The sequence below is a fragment of the Homo sapiens genome, chromosome 17, assembly GCF_000001405.40.
Source record: "Homo sapiens chromosome 17, GRCh38.p14 Primary Assembly".
Taxonomy (NCBI): Eukaryota; Metazoa; Chordata; class Mammalia; order Primates; family Hominidae; genus Homo; species Homo sapiens.
In genome coordinates, this window is record NC_000017.11 from 77,597,768 (window position 1) to 77,612,713 (window position 14,946).

Sequence of the window (14,946 nt, forward strand, 5' to 3'; positions counted from 1 at the left end):
CCTGGTCCCAGGTAGGAATGTGTTGCTCTCATTCCCTGTGGAGTGTGATTCTCTGGGCGGCAGTGCCACTACTCTGTAGGATGCACCATCCAGGATGGCTCTTGGATCTTCTCTGCCTGGCTGTTCCCCAGCCAGAGGCTGCTTTATCCCCAAGGTGGGCACTGCAATGAGGATCCCCAGCCTGAAGCAGCCTCCAGAGCTGAGTCAGTCAACAGATGTTAACTGGGCACCTTGGGGTTCCCTCCTGGCGATGGAATAAACAGAGGGCCTGGCCGCCGCCTCTCTGGGGCCTCCAGCTGGGGGTGTCTGCTGATTGCAGGTGGAGTTCCAGCTCCAGCCCATGGACAGCACCTCAGGCCCCTGCCACGCAGCTAGCCCAGCGGCATAGGTCAGAGGCAAGTGAGTCTTGTCTGAGGGCACATCCTGGCATCAAAGGCTCTGACCTGGAAGGGGCTGCAGGGGATGTGGCTGCCCAGTGGCAGGATGGGGCTGAGGCAGATTTTGGGAACAGGAGAGAGTCACAGAGTCCCTTGGGCATGACTGAAGGCAGAAGGTACCAAAGACGAGCTTTTGCCTCCAGGAGAGGTGGGGACCCACGGAAGCGGCACTGAGCCAGGAGCAGGGGCAGTGAGCAACTCATAGGCCTGGTCCATCTGATGGCCTCTGGCAGCAGTTGTCTGTGCTGGCCCAGATGGTCACAGGGAGGATTCCACACAGGGTGCTTTGAAGGTTCCCCTCCCATTGTTCAGAGGAAGCCCCTGCACCGGACCAATGAGAACACAAGGCCCTGAGAGGGAAATTGAGGACCCTGCTGGGTCCACAGCCTGGAGCTTTTCAACCCACATTCTGTGTTTTTTCCTCTATAACTCTCTCTCTCTCTTTCTATATATATATATATATATTTTTTTTTTTTTTTTTTTGAGACAGAGTCTCACTCTGACGCAGACTGGAATGCAGCAATCTCAGCTCACTGCAACCTCCGCCTCCTGGGTTCAAGTGATTCTCTTGCCTCAGTCTCCTGAGTGGCTGGGACTACAGGCCCGTGCCACCACGCCCGGCTAATTTTTGTATTTTTAGTAGAGATGGGGTTTCACCATGTTGGCCAGGATGGTCTTGATCTCTTGACCTCGTGATCTGCCCGCCTTGGCCTCCCAAAAAAAAAAAAAAAAAAAAAAAAAAAAAAATATATATATATATATATATATATACAAAATTTCTTTACATGGTTTTAATGAAGTTAGCATAGGTTCTGTGTTTTCCCTGGCTGCTGGGAGATTGGGACAGTGTCTTCTGTGGGAGAGGATATGAGATGATGGTGGGCTGTGCACAGTCCTGGGATGAGCCAGCCTTTCAGGACGGCCCTGATGGAAGCTTCTGGCTAGGGTTTCTCACCCCACTCTGGGATCACTTCTGTTGCTACTGCTCAGAGCAGAGTAGGCTATGCTTCTTAAGGGACTGCACCTGCTGGGCAAAAGTTCTTCCCCCCCCCCCAAGAAGGGTGCCCCCCGACACTGCCCACCAAACAGGGACAGGATTCCCTTTTTAGAGCACAAAGGATCTCTGACAACATGGCGTGGCCTGTACCCGTTTGAGGTTTACGCCACCAGCCTGGTCCCTAGAGGCAAACTCTGCTGGAATCTGGGGTGTTGTCCCCCTGCAGTGGTGTCAGAGACGCAGTGGCCCTGGGTCTCCACCAGCAAGGAAGACTAACCCTCAGGAAAGGTTGTGCTTGATTGTGCCTTTTCAAATCAGCATTGTGTTTCATTAAAATAACAGAAATACTGAATAAGCAGTGATCACCTATAGTCACTTACCGATGTTAGGAGGCAGCTAGGATTTCAGGAATGTCCCTCTTAGACACAGGCTGGTGCTGCCTTGCTCTCTTATGAACTGCCTTTTCAGTTGAGCTCAGATCTGGTGGGAGAAAAAAACCATAATGAGCTTTTGAATTAGACCAAGCCTGACTTTTGGCCCTGGCTCTGTCCAGCTCTTGCAGAGGGACTCTGTGAAAAGGTGCATTAGACACTGCCAGCACATGGCAGGGACTTGTAGTAATCAGGAGTCCTTTTCTAAGTGACCAAAATCCCAAATTCAAATAAAGAAGAGGAAAATTCATTGGCTACAACAGCTTCAGGTATGGCTGGATCCAGGTGCTCCAACAATATGGTCAGGATCCAGTGTCTCTCTGTCTCTTGCTGGTCTCCTGTGTGTTCACATAATTCCCAGGTGAGCTGTTTTTCCATGGTGGAAGCTCCACACTTTTGTCTCACCAACTTTAAGACCACCTGAAAGCCAGCTATGCTTTCCCAACAGGCTGTTGGAGAGACTGGAGCCAATCACAGCACATGCTGAATGGAGGGCTCATATTCGGGCAGGCAGCTGAGGGGAAGGTACAGCAGACACTTTCTGGGCCCATGGCCTCTTACCCCTGTGAGTTCAGGTGTGGCTGTGTGGGTAGGTCCCATCTTTCCTCCTGTCTTCTGACTCAGGGCTTTTTCCATAGCTAAGGGCAGGGTAAGCTTGGGAGATACCATGCCCTGGGACAACCGTCTGCCAATGGGGGACAATAGTCTGCGCCCATGGAGGGACAACTCAGAGGCAGATCCCACGGATTTTTCAGAGGGCTCCTGGTGGGTCTGAGCCCCTGTTGCCCGCACCGATCACCAGCCCAGTGTCATCCTCCCATTGACCACGCTGATCACCAGCCCAGTATCATCCTCACAATTGGCCACGCTGATCACCAGCCCAGTGGCATCCTCGCAATTGGCCACGCTGATCACCAGCCCAGTGACATCCTCACATTGGCTTTCTCCCCACCCGGATCTCACTGCCCTGCCCCTCACTCCAGCTTCCTGGAGTCACCTCCCACCTACACTACCTGCACCCAAGGCCTTGTCTCAGGCTCTGTTTTGGGGGAACCCCGAAAGGCAGAGAGGTCAACCTCACCTGAAGCAGGTGAATTGAGAGGTATTAGGGCCTTGAGGACACCTGAGTTTGACCGGCCAGGCGTCTGACCTCCCTCAGCAGCAGGACCCTGTCTCAATTGTTGTCTCGTGAATCCTCCCAGTGTATAAAGAGTACAAGAAAGGGGTTGGTCCAGCCTCACAAGCATTTACTGAGCACCTACTGTGTGCCAGGCTTACTCCCTCTTCACATGAACTCATCATCACCCCATTCTACAGATGCAGGGAGTGAGGCCTAAAATCATCAGGAAGGATCTGAGGCCACACAGCTGGTAAATGGCAGAGCGGGGGCTGGAGTCCAGGGCCTCTCACTCCAGGTGCGGGCTCCTGTCCTCGCCCCGCTGGCTGGTCTGAGGTGGCTCACTGAGCTGGGCGTAGCTTGAAGCCTCCCTTGGTCCCCTCCAGTCAAGACTGGATTTTCCCGCCAGCTCCCAGCCACTGTCCTTCCTCCCCAGGAACCTTCCGCTGTGTTTTTTGCAAAGTCAGGCTCTCCTAACTCTCTCTCACACCCCTTCCTGTTCAGGCTCCAACTTTCTCTGCCCAGAAGCCCTTGCTGGCATTGGTGCCTGTGCCAAGCTTGCTCAGTGGGAGGTGGGTTCACAGCCTCTCACCTCCTTCCCTGCTCGCTGTCCACAGGACTGTCCAAGTAAAGGTTCCCCTCAACACCACCCCTTCCCTCAACCCCGTCCCAGGTCACCACTCAGAATGACAGCGCTAACCCTTTCTACCCTGCTCAAATCCCAACCCTCACCTTCTGGGGCTGCCCCTGCCTGCCCAGATCACCTTCTTGCTGAGAAAATGGAAGCGTTAAACTCTCAATCCTCTTCAAAGCTCATTAGCCAGAGAAAGCTACACATCAAATTGATTTTAATTCTCCGGGTTCTGGCTAACGCAATGACTTCAGGCCACAGGCGGGGAGGGCAGGGTTATTTTTTTGAGGCTTGCTGGTGTCTCTCTGCCCTTTCCTTCTGGCTGGCTCATGATTCTTGCAATGTGACAAGCTCTGCGCAGTCCCAGGGCCAGGACGCAGGGCGAGCCTTGTGCTCCCCAGGGGCAGGATGGGGGCGGAGGGATGGAGGAGGTGCTGAGCCCACAGCAGTCTCCCTTCCCAGGGCCCTACCCAGAAGCTGTCCCGCCACTCATAAAGAGCCTGAAAGATGGAAAGGATCTCTCTCTTATTCTTGTAATATACTTTGCCCAGAATTCATGATGAAATACATTTTCTCCAGAACGTTTTATGCAGTTAATGGTGTAAAATCAAACCGACTGTTGTCAGACCATTCTCAGTGCCTCCCCTAACCCCAGTATTTGTGCTGAAGATGGTGGGAACTCAATTTGCCCTTCCAGAATATCGCAGAGCCTGGCCCCAGCCTGAGCAATGGCAGCTCTCCAGGAGCCTGAGGTCTGAATCTGCCTGGTACAGCATCCTGGAGAGCACGTGCAGACACAGAAGTACTGTGTGCCCTGTGAAATAGTGGGCCAGGTAGGCATTCTGTCCCATCTGTCATGTGCTCCCTCTGTGTGGCTGCCCTGGAGGTTCTGAGGAGGCCTGCGGGGAGGCCCTAGGTTGTTCCAAACCACCTCTATAAATAGCCAGCTTCAGGAATTCACTGGGAGCCAGGCTGTTTTTATAGGCTTGTATCTTCGTTTTTCCAGTAATCCAGCTGAGTGCTTCTGGACCCGGGCCCCCACCAGGGAACTGACAACCCCACATCTGCCACAGGCAGAAAACTTGTGGGGGTCAAGGGAAGCTCTTTCTCTGCCATTTAAGAAGGAATAGTGGGGGCCGGGGCTGCCAGCCCGCTTGGCTCACAACTTTTGGACTGTCTGGCATTGTGGCCAGCACGTGACTGTGGTTATTTGGGGCAAGCAGGGGTGCCCAAGTCCAGACACATCTCCTCCCAGGCCTGTCCCTCACTGACACATCTGGTAAGCATGCGACGGAGAGAACACTGTGTAACAGGAACCAACGCTGGGCTGTCCCAGGCATCCTTTATGGAGAAAAACTCTTTCTATGGGATCTGAATGCTTCTGCTCTTAAATAATCAGTGTGAATTTCTTCTAAGCAGCCAGTGACTAGCCAACAGTTCGAGTAGGGCAAAGTCAATGATGGACTGGATTTCATTTCTCATCAGTGGCATGAGGGGGGTGAACCAGGGGGTCTCCAGTCCCACTTAGACTCAATTCCATAACCTCAACCAAGCACCTGAGCACGCCGGGCACCTGGGGAACCGAGGGACTTGGTACCAGGAGTGGGGCCCACAGGGCCCTGTGAGCGTGTGGTCAGGGGTGGGGAGAAGCCACGGAGGTCGAGGCAGGGTTGTGCTCGCTCAGAGAACCAGATGGCCAAAAGTCCCAGGAAAGCTGGTCTCTATCCATGCTCAACACAGCTTTTCCTTGTGAAGGGAGAGGGAGGAAAGGGATTACCGGCGCCGGGGAGAAAGAGCCCAGAGCCCCGAGGGAGGTGTGGACAGAGCACTCATGAAGATGAGGAAGAGGAGCTTGAGCGCAGGGACAGTGCACAGCACAGTCTGCATCAGAGGAGATGTCTGGGGTCAGACAGAGACTGAGGGGCCTGCCCCTTGGGGCCCGGTGGCCAGGACTTGGTGCAAAAGCCCCCGCCCCCCACAGCCTCCCTGCTCCGAGCCCCTGGCCTTGTGCATCTCCTGCTCTCCTTCCTGAACTAGCGTTGACCTCACATCGCAGCTGCCCTTCCCTGGCTTCATTTATTCAGGAGAGATCTATGGACTACCGCCATGAGGCACGCTCACTCTCTGTTCAGACCTGACGGCGGATCCCGAGCCACGGACCCTGGCGTTCTCCCCACAGATCAGCTCACCTTCACCCTTTTGATGTTGCCACTTCCAGCTGTTCCAGGGAGATGCCTCCTTGGTCTAGCCCAGCCCCAGGCACACTCTGAACGCAGACCTCAGGCAGCCACCCCAGACCCAGCAGAGGGGACACCAGCATGGGCAGCGCAAGTGGGCCTGACATCAGGAAAGCGACCATCCCTGCCTGTCCCTCCAGGGCTAGAGTCATGACTGTATTTGGGTGTGATTCAGATTCATGTAACAGAGCACAAGTGACATTAAAGGGGAAGAAGAAGTAGATGAAGACATGGCTGAAAGCAGACATTAGCCAAATTCTTACTCTAAGGAGAAATGAGGGGTGAGAAGCCTTTTATCCCTGTTGCTGACTTGTCTCCAGCTCCCAGGTACCAGACTACAGGGGTGGGGGTGGGGCAGGCTCTAGGGAGATTCTCGCTTGGTACCCAGCTCCACACTCTGCAATAGTAGTTGATTTGTCATTGCTGTTGGAATTCATTTTTTTTTTTTTTGAGATGGAGTCTCACTCTGTTGTCCAGGCTGGAGTGCAGTGGTGCAATCTCGGCTCAATGCAACCTCTGCCTCCCGGGTTCAAGAGATTCTCCTGCCTCGGCCTCCTGAGTAGCTGGGACTATAGGTATGCCCCACCATGCCCAGCTAATTTTTGTATTTTTGGTAGAGACGGGGTTTCACCATGTTGGGCAGGATGGGCTCAATCTCTTGATCTCATGATCTGCCCCCCTTGGCCTCCCGAAGTGCTGGGATTACAGGCATGAGACACCGTGCCTGGCCTGGAACTCATTTTTAAATCATGCAACACAGGACTGATTCCCAAAACAGCATCCCTGTGCCTTTGCATGGCCACGTCCTCTTGAAGAAGACCTGTGGACTCCGAGTGGCCAAGGGTGTCCCTTTGGAGCCCAACAGATGGGGCTGAATTCCACTTCTGCTGGTTGCCCGCTGTGTGACCTTAGCCGAGTGTCTGGATCTGGGCCTTAGATCCCTCACCTGTTAAATGAGGCCAGAGCTGGCCACTTTTCAGGGCTGTTGATGAAATGAAGGAGATAAAAGATGCAAAGGAGCTCCGTTTGGTGCTGGGGACGTGCAAGCATCCAACAGGCGACATTTGCCATTCTTAGATAATCACTGTCATTAGAGTGCATGCATTCAAGAACCCACAGACAAGAGGTGGAGGCTCCGCTGGGGCTGGGGCAAAAGATGCTTGCCCAGGACACCACAGATGTCCCTACCCTCACAAGTGACCAGTGGGAAGTGACGGAGAGGAGGTGTGTGGCAAAGCCCTAAGGGTGCCTGCAGCCCGGCCCTGCCAGAGTGCGGTACATTGCCCACTTTCGCAATGGCATCTTCAAGTGGGGGCCTCCTTGACACATGGGCAGTCCCCACTTCTGGTCGCCTCTCCCGCCTTTGACTAATGGCTGACCTGACATCTTTCAGCAAGTGACCTTGTTGCAGCTGGTAATTCAAATATCTTTCAGTGTCAGAAATAATAAGCACCACCATGAGATGAACAAGCAGAGCTTAAGTTAAGCGCAGATTAATGGGGTTTTAATATTCCTAATTTAATCACTCCTTTCTGTCACACTGTGGGCAACATGATGTAGCAGCTAATTATTTTTTTAAACCATGTTGGGGATCTTTCCTAATCAATTTTATATTTAACATGAATGAAGGGAGGGCAGTGATTAATGGGAGAATAAATCTCAGCAAACAGGCACAAGCAGGCGATCAGTTAAAAATACGGCAGGATGACTTTGCCTTCTCCTGTAGTAAATTCTTCAGGGATGGGATGGGGCACAATTTTAAGTCTCTTTCAATCTAAAAAGGGGAAATGAGTTGAAGATTTAAAAACCATTTTGGCTGAAAAGTCATGAACACACATTTTCATTGATGTAAAACAGTATAGACTAATCAGTGTGGTGACATTCCATACCTCTTACATTATATTCTAGCATTATGGCATTTCATACCTGCTACAATGTATCCCAGTAAGTATGTGTTGTTTCATATCTGCTACAATGTATACCAGTAAGTATGTGGCATTTCATACCTGCTACAATGTATGCTAAAGAGTATTATGGCCTTCTATAGTTGCTACATTATTATTATTATTATTATTATTATTATTATTATTATTTGTAGACAAGTCTCTCTGTCGCCCAGGCTGGAGTACAGTGGCATGATCTCAGCTCGTGGCAACATCCGCCTCCCAGGTTCAAGTGATTCTGGTGCCTCAGCCTCCTTGAGTAGCTGGGACTACAGGCAGGCACCACCACGCCCCGCTAATTTTTGTATTTTTAGTAGAGACAGGGTTTCACCATGTTGGCTAGGCTGATCTCGAACTCCTGACCTCAAGTGATCCGCCTGCCTGAGCCTCCCAAAGTGCTGGGATTACAGGTGTGAGCCACCCTGCCCTGCCTAGTTGCTACATTGTATACTAGTAAGTATAGTGGCATTTCATAGCTGCTGCCATTTATAGGGAGCATGCTGAGGGGTGAAAGACACTGACTTTCATGTCAGGAAAACGTGTATATTCAAATGCTGGTGCTGCCCTTTATCATGTGACCTTGGGCCTCAGTTTTCTTATCTTTTAAATAGGTGTAATGATGCCCCTGGGAGCATTGTGAGGGCTCAGTGTGTGGATGCACACAGCATAGTGCCTGGCATGTGCGTGCTGCCAAATCTAACTTTAATTCTCGCAACACTAGAAAGTGTGTCTTAGGCTGAGGTCCCCAGGAGCAGGCCCTGGGAGGAGGACCTGCATGAAAGGGATTTGTTAGATGTGCCCTGGAAAGCTGCGCAATGGAACAGGGACTCAGAGAGACCAGGAGGAGGAGGCTACGCAGTGCAGGATCAGGCCAAGCACAGGCAAATTTTGGAGATGATGATGATCATGCCCGAGAGATGTCCCAGTCAGGGACCCAGGAGCTAAGAACGTAAAACTCAGCCTGTCAGTCACGGGCAAGGGAGACATAAATTCCTATGTGTTTCCAGTCCTCCTGCCAAGTGGCTTCTAGCTTTCTGGGAACAATGCTCCCAACAAGAGACCCAGGCACCGTCTATGGAGTGAGGACAAAAACGGTGATACCAGCAGAGGTGGACAGTGCCTGCCCAGGAGGCTGGTCATTTGCTCCGGGTCACACAAAGAAGGCGTGAGCTGGCATAGACCCCTGGTCAGGTCAGGAGGTGGCTGGGTAAGATGTGAACTTGCACCCAAGGAGCTATGGGTCCCCAAAGACCTGGAGTAGACTCCGCATTCTAATATCCCAACCCATGGGGAAGCCCTTGGGGCAGACTGCAGGACCCCTCAGGACAAAGGCTCCCCACGTAAGCATTTCTCATAACAAGCAGAGTTGGGCATCTTTGCCATGTTTTCATTCATTCATCATTCATTCATTCATTCATTCATTCATTCATTCATTCATTCATATATTCACTTATTCATCCGTATTCATCCAACCTTTGTTTAGCAAGCGCCTCCTGCTGGCTGGGCACTGTTGTAGACATGAGGCATAACAGTCAAAAGAATTTTTAAAAATTAATTCCTTTTCTCACGGAGCTGACATTCTAGAGGGAAGGGATGAGCAACAAGAATGGCAAAACACAGAGACAGCACGCATCTTAGAAGGTGACGGTTTCCATGCAGAAAACAAAGCAGAAAGAGCGGAGAGCCGGGGCTGGAAGGAGTGCTCTGTCCAATGTGCTTCCAGCAGAGCCTCACCAAGGAGCTGTAAGCACAGACCTGAAGGGACCTCATTGAGTCTTGTAGCTTTGAATACCATGTAGATGCTGACAACTCCCAAACTGTTTATCTCCAGCATGTCCTCTCTTCAACTCCAGCTGGTAATTCAAATATCTTTGAATTCAAGAGCATCTTCAAGAAGAGGTGTTCTTGAAAAAGACTATTCCACGCAGCAGGAATAGCAAGTGCACAGGCTAAGAGGTGGGAGCCCGCCTGGTCTGCGGGAAGATAGCAGGGAGCTGGCGCACCAGCCGCGGAGAGGTGAGCTCAGGCCAGAGCAGCCGAGGAGGATGCAGGCTTCGTGAACAGGCAAGTCTGGATGAGGCCTTGGCTTCCTCTCCAAGTGCATTAAGGCCGGAGAGTGACATCTGATTCGCATGTTAAAATGCTAGCTGTGATAGTACAGAACAGTCTATGGGGGCATGGGGATGGGGGAGGTGCAAGGAGACTCGTAGGAGGTGAAAGGTGATGGTGGCTGCTCCAGAGTGTTGGAGATGGCAGAGGTGGGAGCGGCTGGACACTGGGCACTTTCCAAGGTGGAGTTGGCAGCATGTGCTGGCGGGTGGATGGGGGGTGCAAGAGTCTTGGAGGAGTCAAGGGCAAGTCCAGGCAGTTGGAGGGCGGGAGCTGCTGTCAACTGAGATGGGAAGATTCGGGATGTGGAGTAGTGGGAAGCTGAGTTTGGGTATATCAGGCTCATTCAACGTCTGTCTGAGTGAAGGGGCTGAGGACACAGTGGGATGTGTAAGTCTGGAATTCGGAGGAGAGACCATGCTGGAGATAGCCAATATAGGACTTGTGGGCATCTATGTGGTATTCAAAGCCACAAGACTCAATGAAGTCCCAGGGAGAGTGAAGGTGGATACAGAAAAAAGTCGTCCAAGCCTCGGGTGGCTCGTGGGGTCAGAGTGTGAGGAGACTAGGGCTCCAGCGAAGGAGACCGAGAAGGAGCAGCCAGGCGGGCAGGAGGAGATCCAGGCAAAGTGGGGTCCTGTGGGCTAAGGGAAGAGAATTCTCAAGGGAAAGGGAAGATGGGCAGCTGTATCCACACCGCAGAAGGACCAAGTCATATGACTACCGAGAACCAACCACTGGACATACCACGTGGAGGCCACTGGTGATCTTTTCTTTTAACTATCAAATACACATAACATAAAACTTACCATAGTAACCATTTTTAAACGCACATTTCCATGGCCGTAAGCACCTTCCTAATGCCGTGAGATCATCAGCACTGTTGTGTTCCAGAACATTTTCCTTCCTCCAAAGGGGGCTCCACACCTGTCAGCAGTCACTCCCCGTCTCCCCGCCTTCAGCCCCCGGCAACCCCTCATCTGCCTTCTGCCTCTAGGGGTTTGCCTAATCTGAGTGTTTCATATCCGTGGAATCACACAATGTAGTGTTTTGTGCCTGGCTCCTTTCACCCAGCGTCGTGTCTTCCAGGTTCATGCACGTTGTAGCACATGTTGGTACTTCACTTCTTTTTGTTCTACATTTGAATTTAATTGTTAAAAAAAATTGACAAAATTTTATAGATATATATTTATGCTGTACAATGTGGTTTTGAAATATGTATGCATAGTGCAGTGACTACATTGAACAAATTAACACATGAATTACCTCATAAACTATCATTTTTCTGTGGTAAGAACACTTACAATCTACTCTTTTGGCGATTTTGTTTCTTTTTAAGGCGAATGGCATTCCACTGTATGGATAGACCACACTGCATTCACCCATCCATCTGTTGACGGCCGTTGGGCTGTTTCTAGCTTTGTGCTGCTGTGAGTAATGATGCTATGAACATGTGTGGCCGTGTCTCCTTTCGAGTCTCTGTTTTCAGTTCTTTGGGGGTGATCCCTAGGCATGGCATTTCTGGTGACCTGCACAACGGGAGCTTCCATGGGGTGATGGGGTCCATGCCCAGGCTGGATGCTGGGAGAGAATGAGAGGAGAGGAATGGAGATGGCAAGGGTGCACAGCTCTTTTGAGAAGTTTTGCTGCCAAGGAAAGGGGAGATGTGGAGTGATTGCTCGAGGGAAAAACAGGGCAAAAGGGTTTAGTTTGGTTTTTGGGGACAGGAGAAGTGGCATGTGCTGTCATGCTGGTGAGAATTGTCCCACAGTGAGGGAATCACCCATGGCAGATGGAATGGGAGGGAGGGAGATCAGACAGTGACCCCACGGGTGGAACGGGAGGGAGAGAGATCAGATATTGGCCCCACGGGTGGAACGGGAGGGAGGGAGATCAGACACTGGCCCCACGGGTGGAACGGGAGCGAGGGAGATCAGACAGTGACCCCACGGGTGGAACGGGAGGGAGAGAGATCAGACACTGGCCCCACGGGTGGAACGGGAGGGAGGGAGATCAGACATTGGCCCCACGAGTGGAACGGGAGGTAGGGAGATCAGACATTGGCCCCACGGGGAGGTGGATGCTGGGGTGGGAGCTCCTCAGGGGCCCCTCTGCTGTCTTTGAACGGGTTCCCTCCCAGGGTTCAGACAACACCCCTGACCTTCTCCTGATCTGTTACGGACTGCAAGAGGATTAAGGACTGTGGGCAGGTCAGATATTGAGAAGGAGAGAGTTCCTGGTGGATTTAATTCTGTGAAAAACATGGCAGCAGGCCTGCAGTCAGACCGTGGGTCCTGTTCTTCTCCACTGTGAAGCTGGAACCTCCATAGGAGCAAAAGAAGTTGGAAGGGGGTGAGGAAGGAAGAGGGGCCATGTTGTGAAGAGTAAAAATAAAACAATAAGGCTGTCATCACTGGGGGGCTGTCAGCGCTCAGGCCACACCCCCTCAGCAAGTGACAAGGACAAACAGTTGCACGGTGCTTAACAAGTTTAAAAAATATATAATATTTTCACTCTGATAAAAGAAAAACTTCAGCCGAATTAAATTGAAAGGAGTTGAACTGAGCAATGAACAATTCGTGAATCAGGCAGCCTCCCGAGCCAGAGTGGGCTCAGAGACTCCAGGGCAGCCACGTGGTGGAGTAAGATTTATGGACAGAAAGAGGAAATCGACTACAGAAAGCGAAAGTGAGGTACAGAAACAGCTGGATTGGTTACAGGTTGGTGTTTGCCTTATTTGAACACCGTTCAGTCGGCCCCCTTTGATTGGCCAAAACTCAGTGACTGGCACAAGTGCAGGCTACAGTCTGTTGATGCCTCCGCTTGTTACATCGATAGTTCACGATGTACAGAAAAACCTTTAGGCCGAACTTAAAATATGTAAGGAGGCAGCTTTAGGCTAAACTTGATTTAACAACATGCATTTAGCTTTCTGAACTCAATGTTATTTCAACTGCTCTTCCCCAAGCTTCCAGATGGGACCGGAGTTTCGGGGATGTGGTTTGCCCAAGGATGCACACCAGAGGGTGGCTGAGCCTGGCGGGTCCCCGATCTGTGCCCCAGAGTGAGTGGCACCAGAGAGAGGATGCAGCCCTCAATGTTTCTGCACTTTGAGCTGATTGCTTTCCCATTTGACCCTAGAAGTTGGATATAAACATTGTCTTGTGTTTGATTTCCTTTGTTTGGGGAGGTCATAAAAAGGCCCCAACAGGATTCTATTAAAGCTTTTTCTTCCAAGTGAGTATCTAAGGCCAAGTTATAAAGCGTTGCAGGGGAAAAGCGAATATTTGCCTTGAAACCTCTTCCCTTGCCTTATAGAAAACCAGAAGAGAAAGAGCACTGAGCAGAGGAGAAGCATATTGCTTCCTTCCCTTGTCCACGTCCTCTGGGCCCCCAGTCCACGTGACTGTGGGGCCTGGGCGCCTGCCCCATCCTCCCTCCACCGAGAAGGGAGCTTCCAGTGTGTTAAGGGGGGCAGCACCGCAGTTCTGTTGTTTTCTTTCCACAGGCTTGGGGTTCACAAACTCAGAAGGGATTTGTCCCTGAGCATTTTTCTCCCTTGGTTTTTTAAGCCATTTGGGTTTCAAGGAAATTGAATCCATGTGTGTTTGGATTAATTGCTTAACTCCTAAAAACGTTGTTTTGTAACAGCAATTTGACATCCAAAAAGCTTGTTAAGTTACTTTCCATCCTTTTTCTGTGGTCCCAATCGGGGGAAATGGGAGATCCCTCCTGCACCAGCCCCATGCTTACAGCTGGAAAGGGCTAATGAGGAATTAGCGTGATGTTCAGTTTATCCCCAAATAAGGCGGGCTTGCAAACCCCACTCTGAAATCCAGGAAGCCTCCTGGGTCCTGCTGGGTTTCTGGGCTTTAGAGAATGTGGACACCTTCTGTGGTCTCGTGTTCAATTTGAGATTTCCTTTTCCCTGGGTCTCGTTTCCAGAGCTTGACTGATCCTCTGGTGGTTCAAATCGCAGTGGAGGAGATGTCAGGCCCCCGAAGGGATGCATGTCTCAGCAGTCAGGGCTCTTGAGGTCTAGGAGGTGCTGCTGAGGGAGGGAAGGTTCGTGTGCTCTGCTCTAGAAATTGTTCTGATGTTCAGGCGTGGTGACTGATGGGATGGCCCCGTATCATGAGTCAAAGAGGAAGAGTGCACCTTCTTGAATGGCCAGGTCCATCAGGAGGCTCCGGGGTTAATGTCATCCGGAAGAGAGGAGTGCTCTTAGGCTGGGCATTTACCCCTAGACCTCAGTTTTCCCATCTGTTAAACAGGAATAACCCCTGACCTCAGAGTTGTTCCACGAGCCGTTTCCTGGTGCCCCCGGACTTCATGTGAGCAGGCATCTGCATTGGCCCCAGTGGACGCTGAGGGTTTCCTCAAGTGGACCCTTTCCTCCTGGGGCCTTCCATTACCTTCCTTCTGCCTGATCTCATTCATCTACTCCCCACCTGGCCTCTGATACCTTCCCTGATGACTTCAGTCAGGCAGGCGGTCTTCTGCTTCCCTAGCGACCATCACAGACCACAGAGATTAGCAAGCACGTCAGTGTTTCCAGAAGGAGGGCGGTCACCCATTCTCCATATTCCTACCCCCTGCAGCACTCGGCAGAGGGCCAGGCACAGCAGCAGCTGTTCACTAAGTTCCCCTTGATTGATAAACTGCTCGGGGGTGTAGATGGGTGTGGCTGTGGGTGTGGTGGTGATGTTGGTGTTCCCACAGGTTCTGCTTTCAGACCCTAAGAATCCAAATGAACCCGCCTAATGACTTGGCGGAAGTTGGCTAGCTCCAAGGTCCAACATTATTTCATCTTCGTCTCAGCAACTTGACCAGGACTTCACTTCTAGCGGTGTAGGACCGATTGCCTGTAGAGGCTCACATATGTGACTTCATTGGCTGACAGGCACAAAGCAAGGTGTCTATACCCACAAAGCAAAGTGTCTATACCCCACTTCTGTGCTCCTTTATGGCATAAACGGCATGATCAAACGGTTATCCACCATAATATCTGCAGTGCAGCTCTGACACTAACCACCTGGAGTTG